Genomic DNA, 17919 nt, shown 5'->3' on the forward strand with positions numbered 1-17919 from the left:
GTGCCCATGCCATTCCAGGAAAATGATGGCCCAGCTGGTGGTGTAAGGCTTGGGGGGCAGCGAGTGGGCATCGTGGTGAAAGCCTCGGGATCAGGGAGCTGCGTCTGCAGGCAGGCCTGCTGGCCGGAAACCTGCCAGGAAAGGAAGGGGCTGTCCCGGGGCGGGGCCAGGGAGGGGTGGAGACAGGGCCGGCTGTGGTCAGTGACAAATGCTGGCTGCAATCCAGCCAGCCCTCTGCCCTTTCTGAGCCCGAGGGACTGCCACCTCCACTGTGTGCACACTCAGCTACGGGACACAGTAAGTACCGATGCCGCAAAGGGAGGTCCCCAGGGCTTGAGGGCATGTGAGGCGAGGAGAGGATGGACTCTAGAGTTTTGGGGTTTGGGGTCTGCAAAGCTCTGAAGGAGTCTCATCTCTGCAGTTTCAGGTATCCAAGGCAGCAGAGGTGAGTGGGTCCCCCGAGCTCTGTGACCTTATGCTCCACACTAACTCTGGCAGAGCCTCCGTTTCCTCATAGGTAAGATGGAAATAATTACACCCTCTGGATGGTGTGACTGAAGATTAAATACAGCGGGTGCTCTCACTCAGCACATCTGGCCATGTCTGCAGACACATTTGGTTGCCACAACTGGAAGGGGGGTGGGGGTTAGTGACATCTAGAGGCCAGCGATGCTGCTGATGATCCCACAATGCCCAGGACAAGATCACAAAGCATCATCCTGTTCAAAAGGTCAACAGGATCAAGGTTGAGAGACCCTGAAATAAGGCCATGGGGACAAAATGTCGGCTGGATAGGAGGTGCTCAGTAAGTGGCAGCTTCTGTTGTTTTCTGTGCCTGGAGTCTTGGGCCTTTAGAAATCAGGAACAATGATCCAATATTATCGGCTTCCGTGAGATAAGGGCATCTTGCCTGGAGGCTGCCACCCAGGCCGGTCATGGCAGCTGCTCATGAAGGACAGTAACAATTTGGCAGTTTGTTAAATGAACAAAATGTAGAAATAAAGTAAGCAGAATTTTTAGTTTTTCTGAAGGTAGGGCTTTTGGCCAGATATGCAGCAATAAAAGAGCAAACTGCTTCCTTGGGCCAGTGTCCTTGCTCATAGATCAGGAAACCGAAGCATGAAGAATACAGGCGGCAGATGCCTGAAGGTAACGGACGTGTTCATGGTGCTGACGGTGATGATAAGTGACAGATGTAGACTCATCTCCAAACTTGTCAGGTTATAGACATTAAATATGTGCAACTTTATGAATAGCAGTCATGTCTCAATCAAGTGGTTTTAATAAAGAAATAATAGGAAGCCAGAGCTGAGAGACAGGGAGGGAGTTGTTCAAGGTCACCTGGCAAGTGAGCTCCGGGGCGGGGAGAGCTCAGCTCTGGGTGGCCAGCCTGGCTTTTTCCACTGCTCAGTGTCCAGCTTGCAGTCTAATGTCTCTGAATTACAGAGAAGGAGACTGGTCAGTTCATTCATTCATTCATTCTACAAAGGTTTATGGAGCATCTCTCCTGACTGCAAGCTCTTGAAGGTGAGAGCAGCACAAATGAGGGTCCCATGGAGAGAGAGGCCGGAATGAAAAATGTCAATGACAAATGCATATATAAAGGCACATGTGTAATTGAAAGAGCTTTGAGAGAAAGAGTCAAGGGACTGTTCCAGAGAATAGCCATGGAAGGGGAAAAGGTCCAGTGTGATAAGGTATTGCAAAGAAGTGACATTTAAGCAAAAGCCTGCAGCCTATGCAGAAGTTGGCCTCAGTGAGAAAGGTTGGGGGAGGGTTCCAGTAGAGAGGGAAGGTATGCAAAGGCCCAGAGTTAGGACAGAACTTGCTGTGTTTGAGAAACTGGGAAAAGAAGAGTGAGCCTGGGGGTATCACGTGATCCAGGGCAGAGCAGGTCCAGGCCAGGTGCAGCCAGGTCACAGCAGCCCTAGTGGGTTAGAGCACAAATCAAAGTTTAGCATTTATCTGAAACACAGGAGTTGGCCATGAGTTTCTTAGGCGAGGAAGCGCTGTGACCATATTTATGATTGAAGGAGATTCTTTTATATGCTGTATATAGAAAGCCTTTCAGGGCAAAGAAAGGAAGCTACTGGGGTAGCCCTGGGGGAGATGAAGGGAGCTTCCACTGGGGGCAGTAAGAAAGCCAGGGAAAGGCGGCAGCTTTAAGACCTGTTTTGGAGATAGAACGGACAAGCTTTGCTGATGGGCTGGAGTGGAACAGGAAGTCAAGATTACTTCTTCTGGGAAGTTCTGTTCCTGGGTCTTTAGGATCTAGAGGAAGCTGTGACTTTGTCTCTCATCTCTGCCTGGGCTCCAAGCCTCACATCCCTTTTTGTAATTAGAAGATATTGGACAGACCGTCCTCACTAACACAATTCCCACAGCTGAGTCCAGGGTAGAACTGGGCAGGACTTCACTGCCCAACACGGGAAATATCAGTCAGCAGATTTGGGTTTCGGGGATGGTGGTGGGCCAGCGGGAAGACTGACCAGGGCCTACCCATCACATCCCCACCACCTCCCACCTCAATTCACCTTGGCCTGAGATGACAGGTGAACATGACTGATCCTCTCTCTTCCCTCTGCAGAAACACTAAAGCCAGGGACCAGGAGAGGGGCAGCCCAACCAAGCTTTCAAAGCACTCAGTAGAGGCTGGTCTGGGGGATGGGAGGCTCCCAGGGCTTCACCTGTCTCTGTCAAAGCCATGTATTTCCACCAGAGGCCCAAGAGTGCGATGGCAAACCCTGGATTTGAAACTAAGAAACGTAAAACAAGCACTGAGGACTCCACTGCCTCTTGAGTGACCTCTCTGACCCTCTGTTTCTTCTGCACTGTTAGGATAATGATACTAACTCCATGTTGTTGTAGAGAAGTATAAATGAGCTAATACAGGTGAACCGCCTGGGGATACCAGGAGGTGAGGTCGAGGAGGAACGAGGTATCACTCCTCAGAGCCACTCAGAGACAGGCTGTGCACGAGTCAGAGGAACCTGGATTTTAATTCCGGTTCCATCACTCAGTAGCTGAAACAAGCTATTCCACTTCACTTAGCCTCAGTCTATTCAATCTGTAAAATAGAGTGAGTTTACTTTTGGAAAACTCTGTAAAATAGAGAGCTTACTTTTGGTGAAGGTTAAACATAGTAATATTTATGGAGTGTCTAGTATGTCTTTAATAATTAGTGGTTTTACTGAAAAGTAGAGAGAGTTGGCCCAGAGGGAGCAAGATTTCTGGGTCTCAAACATGTAGCCCAGGAGAGCCTAAGTGAACCTGGGGCCCTCTCCAAACAGATCCTGGGGGAGACTCAGTGCACACCCGGAGAAGCAGCTCCTCCCCATCGGATCTCTAGTGCTTGGCAGGGGGCGGGGTCTTGAGGGGGTGTCCACAACACATGGCAGACTGCAGATGAAGAAACTGAGGCCCAGAGGGGGTGAGGCTTGCCCAGGGTGACCTAGTAGCTGAATAGATGGGAGAATGGAGGCCAGGGCCTCACTGAGACTCTCTGGTCAGCTGCCCCTGGGCTGTATCCAATAAGGAAACTCCCCTGCTTCTGAAGCTGTTCTCGAAATTATCAGCTCAGTGTGACCCTGTGGGGGGTTGAGCCACATTGTTTCTTTAGAAGCATCTCCATACATGGCTGGTTCCAACCCTTGGCAGGAGGGACCATATTGTGCTGTAAAATAGACTCATTTAGAGAAGCCGGAGATTAAAGCACCCACCTATGTCCTTCAAAGCTCTCCAGGCAAGTGCCATGGTGGGAACAGGTAGGGAGTGTCAGTGGGGGGAAGCCCAGACTCTGCTCACTCATTATCTGCAGATTAGGGCTATTGTTGGTGGCTACTAAGTCAGGGATTTCAAAATCAGGAAGATGCAGCCAGGAAAAGAGGAGGCAGGACTCTGCAGAGGAGGCAGGACTCTGCAGAGTCAGAGTGATAACCGAGTCTGAGTCCAAGCTTTGCCAGTGTTAGCAAGCGACTCCATCTCTCTGAACCTCGGATTACCCATCTGTAAAATAGAGCTAGCAGCAAGATGTACCTTTTTGGGTGGTGCAGGGCTGAAGGAGTTGGCACAGTGCCTGAAAGAGGGTGCGGGCAATGCGCCCAACTGCTGTGGCTGCTGGGTTTGGTGCCAGGTTCGATTCTGCAGGCAGAAACTTCTACATGAGGCTCCTTCTCGGAAGGAGCTCAGGACACAATTTGGAGGCTGGGCTGGCAAGGGTGACCTGCTGGAGCTATTCAACTTCACTTAAAGACAGGCCTGCAGTCCAAGCCTGCCCAATTCCTGAGACCATTCTCTCTCCACTGCTGAGCCCCACGGCCACTCTGCAAGGGATTTCCCACCCACCTGTTTGGGGCCCTTTGGAGTTTGGTTTTAATTGGGTCACGGGATGCTGTGACAGGCTGCCCCTGCCTGGTGGGGATCTGGGGTCACTGATGACATTGTGCCCATGGAGAGAGCCCAGCAGAAAGGGATTCCCTCCAAGGCGACACACAGGGCAAAGCTCACATCAGAAGCCAGGCAGGCCCTCTGCACCTGGTAATTAGCCAGCCTGGGTGCTGTCAGGCTCACACGTGTGTGTGTGTGTGTGTGTGTGTGTGTGTGTGTGTGTGTAAAGCATGTACCCTATGGTACAGTTGAGAATATGGAGGCCTCAGATGGGGCTTTTGCCAGAAACTGCCATGCCTACTGCTCACACTTCCATAGCACGTGCCCCCAAGCACCCCATGGTGTAGGTGCTGTTATTATCACTATCTTACAGTTATGGAGCAGTGGCTCAAGGTGTAACTGACTTGCCCAAAATCACACTACAAGGACACAGCAGGGCTGAGATTTGAACCCAGGCAGTGGCTTCAGAGCCTGAGCTGTTTCCTACTGCAGAGGGAGGAGGCAAGACTTCTACCCGTAGCCAGATGGGGAGGCATGGGCACAGGAACGGCTCTTGGGTGAAGTGGAGGGAGGAAGAGGAGGACTGAAGGCCAAGGCCACGTCAGGAGTGATGGGAGACCCCACAAAGGCCTCCCTGAGAAGAGCTAGAGACAAAGATGAGTGCCTCCTCATCTGGAAGATGAAAAGATGTCTTTGCCTGCATGGGCTGCTGTCACAAAGTCCCAGGGGCTAGGGGGCTTCAACAACAGAAATTTCTTTCTTTACAACTCTGGAAGCTGGAAGTCTGAGATTAAGGCACCAGCAGGATTTGTTCCTTCCAAGGCCCCTCTCCTTGGCTCACAGGTGGCTGCCTTCTCCCTGTCTTCACCTGGTCTTCCCTCTGTGCATGTCTCTATCCTGATCTCCTCTTTTTAATTTTTGTGTAAGGACGTAGTCATATTGGGTTGGGGCCCACTCTAGTGACCTCATTCTAACTCAGTCCCCTCTTTAAAAGCCCTATCTCCAGATATAGTCACATTCTGGGGTATTGAAGGTAAGGACTTCAGCATATGCATTTTGGGGGCACAATTCAGCCAGAACAGGAGGACGGTGGGGATGTCCACATGAAGAGGTTCAGGCAGAATTCCTTTAGGAGGGGAAGATGTCTCTCTGTGGGACAAGGGTGGCATGGAGCAGCCCCTGGGGGAAGGAGAAGGGGACAGTTTGCATACTGGTATTCTGCCTACCCCAGGGTGGACACTCACTCAGCGTTTGCTGAATGAACAGGGCAAGGCCAGCAGTGCTGATGGTCCCAGGCATGTAGCTGGTCTGAGTTCATAGAAGGACCACAGCGCCCTGCCATGTGCCAAACCAGGACACCAGAGTGAAGGCCAGAAGCTCACATGGAAGCAGCTTAGTTCCCTGGTAACCTCGAGATGCTGATGAGACAGAGCAGAGCAGAGGGAACCCTCTCCCTCCATATCCCATCCTCCAAAATGTGTCCCTTGATGTGGATGGGTAGACAGGATTCCTGCCCTGGCAGCCAGACCCCTGCCTTGGGTCTGCACCTCCTCTCCCTCCTTCCTCTCCCCGTCATCCCTAAATCTTGTCCTCGAGCCACTGCCACCCTGTGTAAACCCTCATGCCCAGTCTTGCGGGTGCCATCCCTTCTCTTTGAAGCTGAATGGACCAAACATACCCATTGAGTGTTGGGTGGGGACATCTCTGGAAAGTCAGCACCTGGACCAGCTCCACCCCTCTCTGAGGACACCTTCTTTCCCTTTCAGAACAAAGAACAGCCACCATGCAGCTCTTCCTCCTCTTGTGCCTGGTGCTTCTCAGCCCTCAGGGGGCCTCCCTTCACCGCCACCACCCCCGGGAGATGAAGAAGAGAGTCGAGGACCTCCATGTAGGTGCCACGGTGGCCCCCAGCAGCAGAAGGGACTTTACCTTTGACCTCTACAGGGCCTTGGCTTCCGCTGCCCCCAGCCAGAGCATCTTCTTCTCCCCTGTGAGCATCTCCATGAGCCTGGCCATGCTCTCCCTGGGGGCTGGGTCCAGCACAAAGATGCAGATCCTGGAGGGCCTGGGCCTCAACCTCCAGAAAAGCTCAGAGAAGGAGCTGCACAGAGGCTTTCAGCAGCTCCTTCAGGAACTCAACCAGCCCAGAGATGGCTTCCAGCTGAGCCTCGGCAATGCCCTTTTCACCGACCTGGTGGTAGACCTGCAGGACACCTTCGTAAGTGCCATGAAGACGCTGTACCTGGCAGACACTTTCCCTACCAACTTTAGGGACTCTGCAGGGGCCATGAAGCAGATCAATGATTATGTGGCAAAGCAAACGAAGGGCAAGATTGTGGACTTGCTTAAGAACCTCGATAGCAATGCGGTCGTGATCATGGTGAATTACATCTTCTTTAAAGGTAAGGCCCTTGGGCCCAAACCTGCACTTTCTTTGGCTTTTCTGCTGCTTTTATCTAAAGAATACCCAATTCCCTCACATACATAAAAGACGGGGAGTACGTTAAGTTCTTTTGGGTGCCTGTTGAGAAAAATTAAGTAAACAAGCAGCCAGAGAAGGTAAGATGAATGCCTTCTTGCTGTGGATGGGATTAGTGAGGCTGAGATGCTGTTTCCTCCACGGAGGAAGAGCTGGTTGCTGTCTTCGGGCCCCTGGGGACATCTGAAGCCCCAGCTTTCTACAGGCTCTGAAGTATGAACCCATTGTGGCCACCATGGCAAAGACACCAACACCTTAGCCACTCAGGGCAGGACACAGACCCCAGAAGGGCTTAAAGGGCATTTCCCAGTCCCCCGTATCCCTCAGATCTTGGCCCCTCTGCCCTCATAGAGGCCAAGACTCCCTCAGACAAATGCTTGTTCCTCTGAAATGCCTCCTCCTGACTCCTCAGCAAGAGCTGACCTCTGCTTATCTCCCCGACACTCCTTGTAAGCATTCCTGCTCGCCTCTGCAGCTCCTGCCAGTTGCTGACCCTGGGGAAAGCAAGAGTGGATAGAGAGGAGAAGAGAGGAGAGGAGAGGGTGGGAAGGGTTGCGAAGGAAGGTAAATTGTTAACACCTCCCCTTCCTATGGTCACAGATCATGAGTATCTTTGGCCATTTGGGTGGCTATAACAAAATACCATAAACTGGGTGGCTTAGCAACAACAAACATATATTTCTCATAGTTCTGGAGGCTGAGAAGTCCAGGATCAAGGCACTGGCAGATGCAGTGCCCATTCCTTGGTTCATAGAGAGTGCCTTCTTAGTATATCCTTGCTGGAAGGAGGAAGGCAGCTCTCTGTGGTCTCTTTTGTAAGGACACCGATCCTGTTCATGACAGCTCCACCCCCATGACCTAATCAACTCCCAAAGGCCCCCTGTCCTAATACCACCACCTTGGGGGTTAGGTTTCAACATATGAACAATGTGGGGACACAAACATTGAGACCACAGCAGTGAGTGTCGAACTTGGACTCTGAGATTTCCTATCCCCTGGTGCAGGGCAGTCCCCATTACACCAGATTGCTGAGGGCAGCTGGGAAATAAGCTAAGGACGGTATTGACTGGGGTCTTCCTTCGATAACGATTAAGAAGTTGGAAACAGGCCAGGCATGGTGGCTCACGCCTATAATCCCAACATTTTAGGAGGCCGAGATGGGCAGATCACCTGAGGTCAGGAGTTCGAGATCAGCCTGGCCAACATAGTGAAACCCCGTCTCTACTAAAAAATACAGAAATTAGCCAGGCATGGTGGTGGGCGCCTGTAATTCCAGCTACTTGGGAGGCTGAGGCAGGAGAATCACTTGAACCTGGGAGGTGGGGGCTGTAGTGAGCCAAAATTGCGCCACTGCACTCCAGCATGGGTCACAGAGCGAGACTCCATCTCAAAAAGAAGAAAAAAAGAAAAAAAAGAAAAAAAGAAATAAAATAAAATAAAAAGAAGTTGGAAACAATCACTTGTAGCGTTTTGTTCAGAAGTTCCCATAGGAAGGTCAGAGAAGGGTCATTGAAGACTTCCCAATGGGAAAAACCATTCATTTCCAGGATCCATACTAACTTCTTTCTAAAATTTAAATCAAAATATTGGAATGAAAGTGCAAACAGAGAAGTTCACCCAGATATCAGGTAGCATTCACAGCCAGCCACATTTTTCACCCTCTTCACTTGGAGATTTGGTCTTGAGTAAAACGTTAGAGAATCAGAGAACATCAGGGGTCCAGGGCCTCTGAAGATGTGAAAACCAACCTCCTTGTTTTGCAAATGTGGAAGGAAAAGTCCCACGAAAAGTCCAAGAATGTGCCCAATGTTATAAAGAGACTTGCCTTCATATTCAAGAGGTTCAACAGTCACTGCTCTGGGGCTGCCATAAAGATGGTCTCCGCTGGCTATCTTTACTGTCTTCACTCCTTTTATTTGCAGCTGAGAATTTCTAATTCTGACACAAAATTCTTTTTCATTTTTCCCTTTTTTCATCTTTAGCTAAGTGGGAGACAAGCTTCAACCACAAAGGCACCCAAGAGCAAGACTTCTACGTGACCTCGGAGACTGTGGTGCGGGTACCCATGATGAGCCGCGAGGATCAGTATCACTACCTCCTGGACCGGAACCTCTCCTGCAGGGTGGTGGGGGTCCCCTACCAAGGCAATGCCACGGCTTTGTTCATTCTCCCCAGTGAGGGAAAGATGCAGCAGGTGGAGAATGGACTGAGTGAGAAAACGCTGAGGAAGTGGCTTAAGATGTTCAAAAAGAGGTACTTTCAGACTACCCCAGGGCCAGCCTAAACCCACACAGCCCCAGGGAGACACACACGCCCTACCAGGGCCACACAGCACTGGTGGGAAGGACTCACCCAGCCAAGGAGCTGCCTCCAGGCCCAGAGGCATCCTGTGACATCCAAGTCCTGGGGGCCTAGCCCAGTTGGAGGGACAAGAGCTGGAAACTGGGTTCCTTAGGGTGGTGCCAGAGTGGGCAGAGACCTCTGGGCAGCCCACGTCCAAGTCCAGAGCAAGGGGAGGCTCATCCTAGAAAAGAGGCCAGAGGAGCCATAACCACCATTGTTCCTTGGGTTAAGGAGTCCTTTTTTAAAACCATCAAAACTAAGAATCCAGTGCATTATGAATCCAAGGGGTGAGGCTCAGTGTGCCAATGCCCCAGAACAGTCTAAGAAAGCTCCTTTTCCCTTTCCAGGCAGCTCGAGCTTTACCTTCCCAAATTCTCCATTGAGGGCTCCTATCAGCTGGAGAAAGTCCTCCCCAGTCTGGGGATCAGTAACGTCTTCACCTCCCATGCTGATCTGTCCGGCATCAGCAACCACTCAAATATCCAGGTGTCTGAGGTGGGTTCAGAAGCTCCTATGCATCTGCTTCCCAAGGTCTATTCTGTTCTATTCTTTCTATTCTACTCTACCCCATTTCATTCCATTCCATTCCACTCAACTCCACTCCACTCCACTCCACTCCAGTTCACTCTATTCAATTCCACTCCACTCCACTCCAGTTCACTTTATTCAATTCCACTCCACTCCACTCCAGTTCACTCTATTCAGTTCCACTCCACTCCACTCCACTCCAGTTCACTCTATTCCATTCCACTCCATTCCACTCCTCCACTCCTCTCATCCACTCCACTCTACTCCTCCACTCCACATCTCCACTCCACTCCTCCACTCCACTCCTCCACTCCACTCATCCACTCCACTCCTCCACTCCACTCCTCCACTCCACTCCTCCACTCCACTCCACTCATCCACTCCACTCTTCCATTCCACTCCATTCCACTCCTCCACTCCACTCTTCCACTCCACTCCATTCCACTCCTCCACTCCACTCCACTCTATTCTATTCTATTCCATTCCATTCTACTCTATTCTATTCCATTCCATTGCAGTCAACTCCACTCCACTCTCTACTATTCTATTCCACTCCTCTCCCCTCCACTCCATTCCATTGCAGTCCACTCCACTGCACTCCACTCCTTTATTCTGTTCTGTTCTATTCTATTCTATTCTATTCTATTCTATTCTATTCTATTCTATTCTATTCTATTCTATTCTCTCCCTCTCCCTCTCTTTTCCCACAAGTAGTGAAAGTTTCACTTTGTGTCTTATCCTTCATGTAATGGGAAGCCATATCCACCACTGTTCCTTGAGTTAAGGAGTCCTGTTTTAAACAATCAAAACTAAGAAGGCACTTCCTAGCTATGTGATCTCCAAAAAATACTTGACTCTCTGAGCTTCCTTTCTCTCTTCTATAAAATTGAAGAATTACACCTTGCTCAAAGATGCCATGAGAATTCAATGACAGACACATGCGAAGTCACCCCCCAGCACAGTGCCTGGGGCAGAGTAGCTGCTCCATTGTTCCATTTCCTACTTGCTCCATGGCTCAGTTGAACAGATACTTAGAGGTTGATGCCCATAGGCAGAAGCTTTGCCATTTGCTATGATGACTTCACCTGCCCCTAGTGGCCTGGTGATGCCTGGTGTCTCCCCTGCAGATGGTGCACAAAGCTGTGGTGGAGGTGGACGAGTCGGGAACCAGAGCAGCGGCAGCCACGGGGACAATATTCACTTTCAGGTCGGCCCGCCTGAACTCTCAGAGGCTAGTGTTCAACAGGCCCTTTCTGATGTTCATTGTGGATAACAACATCCTCTTCCTTGGCAAAGTGAACCGCCCCTGAGGTGGGGCTTCTCCTGAAATCTACAGGCCTCAGGGTGGGAGATGAAGGGGGCTAAGCTATGGCCCATCTGTATGCTGGTAGCTAGTGATTTACACAGGTTTAGTTGACTAATGAGGCATTACAAATAATATTACTCTATGATGATTGCTTCCACCCACACGACTGCAACATACAGGTGCCTTGGGGAAATGTGGAGAACATTCAATCTTGCCGTCACTATTCATCAATGAAGATTAACACTGAGATCCAGAGAGGCTGGATGACTTGCTCAAGTTCACCAGCATGGTAGTGGCAAAGAGAGGTCCAGAGTCCTGGCCCTTGATGCCCAGCTCAGTGCCACAAAGCTCAATAGGAGGGATGTTCCAGTGGATGAGGGCCACCAGGAAGCACAGGTCCAAGGCTGGTCCCACACTTATCAGCAGCAACAACTGTCAGTTCATCCTGCATGGGAAAAATGTTGGAATGGGAGTCTGAAATGGGGCTACTGTTTCAGTCCTAATGTGCTGTGTGACATTGGGACAACACTTTCCCTCTCTGGACCTCAGTTTCCCTCTGTATACAAGGATCAGATTCTTGCTGTGACCCAAGAACTCCTGAAATCATATAGAAAGGCTGGGGTGGGCCCTGTCATTCGTGGTTGATTTCAATACACTCAAGTGCCATTCATCCTTTAAGAAAAACATCTGGATATCAAGGTGGAAATGGCCCATTTAATGATTGATTATATCATTTTGTGGATATAGTTATAATCTGATGGGCCTGGCTGGGAGTGGAAGAAGGGAAGCCTTTTGCAAATAGTAGAGTATCAGTTGCAGGTGCCAATGACTAACTTTTTGAATTCTATGTTGGCATTAACAATAAAGCATTTTGCAAACACTGGTTATAACTGTCTTTATGGAGGCAGCTCTGGGAATGGTGACATTGATAGCTTACCATGCTCCAGGCCGGGTGCCTGGCCCTTCACCTGGATGGTCGCATTTGCCCCTCATAAGACTCCCATGAAGAAAGGCACCACTGTTATCCCATCTGTTATTCACAGATGGGAAAGGCAAGGCTTGAAGTGGTTAGGTGGCTTACCCAGTCACATATCTTCTAAGTGGTGCAGCCAGAATTTGGCGGGGGGAGTGCGACCAAGAACCCTACACTCAGTCCTGTGCTCTGTGCTGTGGAGGAGAGATGACCAGGAGCAGAAACTTCATTCAGGGACATCTCAGGCACCAGCTCCCCCATGAGCCAGCTAAGTTCCCTCCCTCCCTTCACCAAGCACCATGTGTTTCCTCATGTGCCGAATGAAGAGGATTAGATACTCAAGAATGGAATGAGTGGGTGAGTGAGTCCTTCGCTGCACCCAAGTCTGATTTTCTGTGCGCCTGCTCACCCCACCCTGCATGTTCTAAGCATGCTTCCATAAGGCTGTGCCCCACCCTCTGATTCTAGAGTCTGGACTGTATCAGAGGTGAGTGCCTACTAGAGGTAACAAGGTCAGGACCCCAAACCTTGTCCATCCCCCAAAGTACTGAGCCCCCACCATGCACCAGCCCATGCCAGATGCTTTGCACTTGTGATATCACCCATCCCTTGACAACCCAGCAAGTTCTATTATTGTTCCCATTTTACAGGCAATAACATAAGTGCTTTCCCAGGGTCCCACGCTGGTGACAGTGAGGGCCCAGGGTCTGAGAGCCCAGATCGCACATGTGCGGGCTGGTGGCAGGGGAGATGGCAGCAACCAGACTCAGACATTTCTCTGCAGTTGTGCTGTGGGCTCAGGGTGGCTCTTTATGAAGGGGCCCCTTCATGGGGTCATGCACTCCTGTGTGTTTTCCCTTGCATCATGCCTTGCCTGTCTTGGCAAATATTTCTCTGGAGTTTACCCAGCCAGTCCAAGGTCACAGGGAAGCCCTGTCTGTGTCTCACACAGAAGGTCAACGTCCAGCACTGTCCAAACTTTACTCAGCAAACAGTCACAAAGCAGCTCCTGTGTGGGGGGTCAGGGGTGGGCTCACTGTGGTCTCTGCTGCATGTCACACATTGAAGCACTGTGCTGGGGGTCATCACAGGCTGTTTAACTCAATTGTCACATGAGCCTGGGTGCACAAAATGGTAGAGCAGCTCAGAGAGAGATGGACAGACAGCATGAACCTCTGAGGAGTCAGGTTTTCTTGGATGAAGGGACACTAAGATGGCTTTGGAGCGTGAGAAGGACTTCACCTAGCAAATGTGGGAAAGGAGTGAGACCTCCAGGCAGAGGGACTGGCTGGAGACGAGCGTGATGTGGTGAGCCATGGAGTGTATGGGTCCCCACAGAACTTCAGTCTGGGCCTGCACAGGGCATGTGGAGGAGACAAGGAGGAGGGAGGTGGCCGTGCCGGCGGTTCAGTGACAGAGATCCTAAATGGGAGGCCAATCCTAAATGGGATGATCTCTTTCATCCCAATTTCAGGGTAGTTTGGTCATCCACGCCACATTCCAAGTGTCCCCTGGGCCCTTTCTCTCCCTCACCCCCCTGTCTGCACATGAGTAGATGCCTCCATGCAGCCCTCCCAGGACGCTCACCTCTATCCACAGATGCTTCTCCAAAACCCACCAGGCCCTCCCATGGAACGAGCTCACCTACAGGGTAAAATCAGGTCACGGTCACATATAGCCTGACTACTCCCCTCAGGACCCTCATTCACAGCCACTGTATTAATTTGCTGGGGCTGCCAAAACAAAGTGTCCTCATCTGGGAGGCTGCAGTAGATTTGCTGAAATTGATTTGCTAGCGTTGCTGAAATTGATTCAAGCTTGATTCTGGAGCTTGAATCGAAGATCAAGGCAAGTGCAGGGCTGGTTTCCCTGAGGCCTCTCCCCTTGGTTTGCAGGTGGCTCTCCTCTCCCTATGTCTTCACATGGTCCTCCTCTGCATGTGCCTGAGTTCTAACTTCCTCTCCTCTCCTCATCTCCACCAGTCTTATAGAATTAGGGCCCCCCAATGACCTCATTCTAACTTAATAACCTCTTTAAAGTCTCTATCTCCAAATACAGTCACATTTTGAAATATTGAGGGTTAGGACTTCAGTGTATGAATTTTGGGAGGATGCAACTCAGCCAGGCTCACTCTTATCATTACAGCTGCACTAGTGCCATGCCTGGTTCCCAGTGGACACCCCAGGAACAGCCATCCATCCAGAGTGATATTCTGTGACATCCCCTACACTCCACAGCTCATCACATCACACTCGTCTCCAGTCGGTCTGTCTGCCTGGAAGTCCCACACCTGTTCCCACATCCACTGTCTGGGAGGTCCTTTTCATGCTTCAAAGCCAGCTCAGTGTCCTCCTTTGTACAAAAAAATGTCCTGACCTCTCAGAACTTCATTCTTTCTCTCTTTCTGTCGATCTTTGTCTGAACTCCTCTATCATTTTGTGCACCCAGGAACGTGTGACAATTGAGTTGAACAGGCTGCAAAAACGAAAAAGAAGAAAGAAATGCTGAGTTAAACAGGCTGCAATGACCCCCAGCACGGTGCTTCAATGCATGAAACGCATCAATGACTTGCAGCAGAGGCCACACTCAGCCCCCCTCTGCCCTTTGAGTTTTTGCAGCTCTTGCCAAGATCATTCTTGTTCTTAGAAAGCCCACCATTATTTTCCTTTCTAGCCATATGGATTCTAAAAGTTCCTCTTGTGAGCTGTAATCAGAATGCAGAGAAGTAATACAAGGTTAGGGCCCAGGACTCTTTCTCCCACCTCTCCCTGCAGAGACTCAGATTTTTTTAAAAAATGACCTTGGTCTTCGGGGGAAGAACTTCCCACCACAGTGAACAGCCATGCCCAGCCTACACTTGACTGTGCGGCTTACTTAGCTCATCCATCCAAAGGCTATTCCTGGGTTGCCTAGTGGAAATCCAGGCATGGAGCTAGTGCAAGCACAATGATAAGAGTGAGCCTGGCAGACACTGACCCCAGCAATAATCAGGTAAACAAATAAACAGAACTACAAACTATGATGACAAGAATTCATCCATCCACAGATATTCACTGAATGGCCACTGTGTGCCTGGCACTGTTCCAAGTGCTGAAGAAAAATGAAGAAAACAAAAATCCCTGCCCTTATAGAGGAGACATTATAATGTGACAAGATAACATAATGAAAAAGAATGAAGAATAAAATAGAAAAGTAAAATGGATTGCATGTCACTTGATGACAAGTACTGTGGAATGAGGCCGTCATCTAAATGGAGCACAGAAAGTGGAACATGGCGACATCTCAGCCAAAAGACCCGGCAGACACCATCTTGGCCAAGGGATCGAGGTTGGCATCGCCAGCTGTGAGCAGTGCTGACATCTTATTATCTTCGATATGGCGTCATGAGCAGGCTGCCTCCTCTTGGTGGGATCTTCCCCCAAACCCAGAACCTCAGTCTAATCACAAGAAAATGACAGCCAATCCCAAGTTCAGGGACATTTGGCAAAATAGCCCACCACTCCTACTTAAAAGTGTCGAGGTCTTGAAAGGCAAGGAAACCCTGGGAAATCGTCTTTGGCCGGAGGAAACTCAGCAGACATGACGACTAAATGCAATGTAGAATCCTCGGACAGAAAAGGACATTAGTAGGACAGCTGGTGAAACCCAAGTAAGTCCAGGCTGTACCAATGTCCACTTCCCAGTTCTGAGGAACATGCTGTGGTCTGTCCACATTTACATTAGGAGAAGCAGGGAGAGCGTATATGGGACCTCTCTGTATTGTTTTTATAACTTTTCTGTAAATCCAAAACTGTCTTAAAATAGTTTTTTTAAATTATACTTTAAGTTCTGGGGTACAGGTGCAGAATATGCAGGTTTGTTACATAGGTATACATGTACCATGGTGGTTTGCTGCACCCCCTTTTTTTAAGAAAATGTTTCAAAAAGAAAAACAGCCAAGTAGGGGAGGGCACACGAGTGGGGTTGGGAATTGCAAAGGCAGAAGCAGGAGACCAGTTAAGGAAGAAAACGGGGCACTAAGAGAGACAATCAGGAGGACCTGCTGCAGCCAGGGCCCTGAGGGGCTCCCTGAGGTGGTGCCATTGAAGCGGAGTTCTGAGGGACAATCAGGTGTAGACACTGTGAGTCTCAGAAGTGGGAAAAGGGGAGTGCTGTGCACAAAATTGAGAGACGGTGCCTGTGGCAGCAGCTGAGGAGGGAAAGAGAAGGTGGGGTGGGAGGCCCATCCCTTCCTTGGCCACAAGGACACTGAGTAGGGTGCTGAGATGGGAGTAACAGTAATAATAACAGGCAGCACTTGGAGGCTGCGTCCCGTGTGTCTGGCACTCGCCTAAGCCCTTTGTGCACATTGGCTGAGTTAATGCAGAGGTGAACTGAGAGGCACCTGGGGTAGGGGCTGGGGGACAGGAAGCAGGTGACATCTCCAGTCCTCTCCAGCGTCCTTAGAGCAGGTCTACAGTACTGATCCTTCTCTGCCACCCTTCTCCAAGACCACCTTGGTGGGAGTAAGGGGCTCTAAGGTGACAACACACACAGGAGCCACAGACACAAGACACAAGACACTTTTGACTCCCAGGAGAACCTAGTATGGGCATCCACACACCCTTCCTGATGGTGACTTTTTATGTAGACATGCAGAGTGCAGTTAACCAGCTGTTCCTGCACACATCTGGATTGCTACTCACACATCTGTGCACACACACACACAGCCTCCTGGAGCACTGTGGCTTCTGGGTGGCTAACACAGCTACCACCTCTGGTTGTGCTGAGCTGAGCACCCATTGCCTGCTGGGGTGGGGAGAGGGCAGGCACTTTCCCTGCGCGACCCCGTTTAACCCTCTCTGCCCCACTGATGTGGTCCCTGTTGTCCCCGATGCACAGAGGAAGAACCTGTGTCAGGACCCCCAGAGCGGTGTCTCCACTAAGCAGAAGTCTCTGTTTCTCTCCTGGCCTCTCCCAGAGGGGCTGCTCTGAAGCATGTGGATTTGATCAGGATAATCAAGGTAAATGATCCTTATCTTGATCCATCACAAATGTTAAGGTACAAGGCTGTGGAGATGGAGAGTGGGTGGAGTCTCTGCTGCCCGGTATCCTAAGCTGGGTGATCGCAAGCAGACACACACATGACCACCTCTTGGGCCATGCAGGGGGAATGAATGTAATGAGGCCGATGTTACAGGGTTATTGAAGGCTCAGGGGAGACCAGGCCAAAAAAAAAAAAAAAAAAAAAGCTATGACCTGAGACCTCCCTATAGCAGTGTTTCTCAAACTCTGATTAACGTTACTTGAGGAGCTTGTTAAAAATACATACTCCTGGCCCTGATCAGATAAATCAGAATATTTGACACAGAGTCTTTAAGCTCCCCCTCGGGATTCAAATGCACACAGATTTTTGGTGCTTTGCCGCCTACAGTACAAGAGAGGGCAGGACTGTCCTGTTCAGTGCACTGTGACCCGGACGCTCAGGCCCACGGAACTCCCCTACTCCCCCTGCTCCCTGCGGTGCCACCCACCTAGCTTTCGTGCCTGAGGGTGGTCCTCAGACTCCTCCTAGAACAGGCCCAGAGGCTCTTAGCTATGTAAGTATTCATTCCTCCAATCACTGCAGAGCACTCACCAGGTAACAAGCACGCACACCCAGGCGAGTTCCCCATGCTCGTCCCCACGTTGATATCTCAGACTCTACAAGTCTTCAGCTGCTGCCTAGGACTCTGTAAGTCCTTGAGCTTGGGACCCCTACCACACACAAGCGCTGGGCGTGCCCCACAGGCGGGGAAGTGCTGGCCATATACACCCAGTGAAGTGGGAATTCCAGATAATGAGTAACTTTTTAGCAAAGTACCCATGCCCTTTGAATTGTGAGGTGTTTTTGTTTGCTAAATCTGACAATTCTACCTGTAGGGA

The 17919-nt window shown here is 50.3% G+C and overlaps 1 protein-coding gene and 2 long non-coding RNA genes across 3 annotated transcripts; 2 read left to right on the forward strand and 1 right to left on the reverse strand.

Moving 5' to 3' along the window:
• On the forward strand, nt 233-11925 carry SERPINA5 (serpin family A member 5). The gene is made up of 6 exons (NM_000624.6): nt 233-297; nt 422-517; nt 6153-6788; nt 8848-9118; nt 9556-9703; nt 10864-11925. The coding sequence occupies exons 3-6, from the start codon at nt 6170-6172 to the stop codon at nt 11044-11046; spliced, it is 1221 nt and encodes a 406-aa protein (NP_000615.3). The 5' UTR covers nt 233-297; nt 422-517; nt 6153-6169; the 3' UTR covers nt 11047-11925.
• On the reverse strand, nt 11499-17730 carry LOC112268127 (uncharacterized). Its single transcript, XR_002957587.2, has 2 exons — nt 17633-17730; nt 11499-14490 (listed from the first exon to the last, which is right to left on the reverse strand). It is a non-coding gene; the product is annotated as an uncharacterized LOC112268127 (long non-coding RNA).
• LOC124903411 (uncharacterized) lies at nt 13053-15805 on the forward strand. Its single transcript, XR_007064390.1, has 2 exons — nt 13053-13323; nt 14464-15805. It is a non-coding gene; the product is annotated as an uncharacterized LOC124903411 (long non-coding RNA).

The sequence above is a fragment of the Homo sapiens genome, chromosome 14 (genome assembly GCF_000001405.40).
Source record: "Homo sapiens chromosome 14, GRCh38.p14 Primary Assembly".
NCBI lineage: Eukaryota > Metazoa > Chordata > Mammalia > Primates > Hominidae > Homo > Homo sapiens.

Excerpts from the sequence above, each read along its gene's own strand:
- SERPINA5 (NM_000624.6), top strand. The coding sequence starts at position 6,170 with ATGCAGCTCTTCCTCCTCTTGTGCCTGGTGCTTCTCAGCCCTCAGGGG. Across the intron at positions 9,119-9,555 it reads CTTAAGATGTTCAAAAAGAG|GCAGCTCGAGCTTTACCTTC; the intron begins GTACTTTCAGAC and ends TTCCCTTTCCAG. Across the intron at positions 9,704-10,863 it reads CAAATATCCAGGTGTCTGAG|ATGGTGCACAAAGCTGTGGT; the intron begins GTGGGTTCAGAA and ends TCTCCCCTGCAG.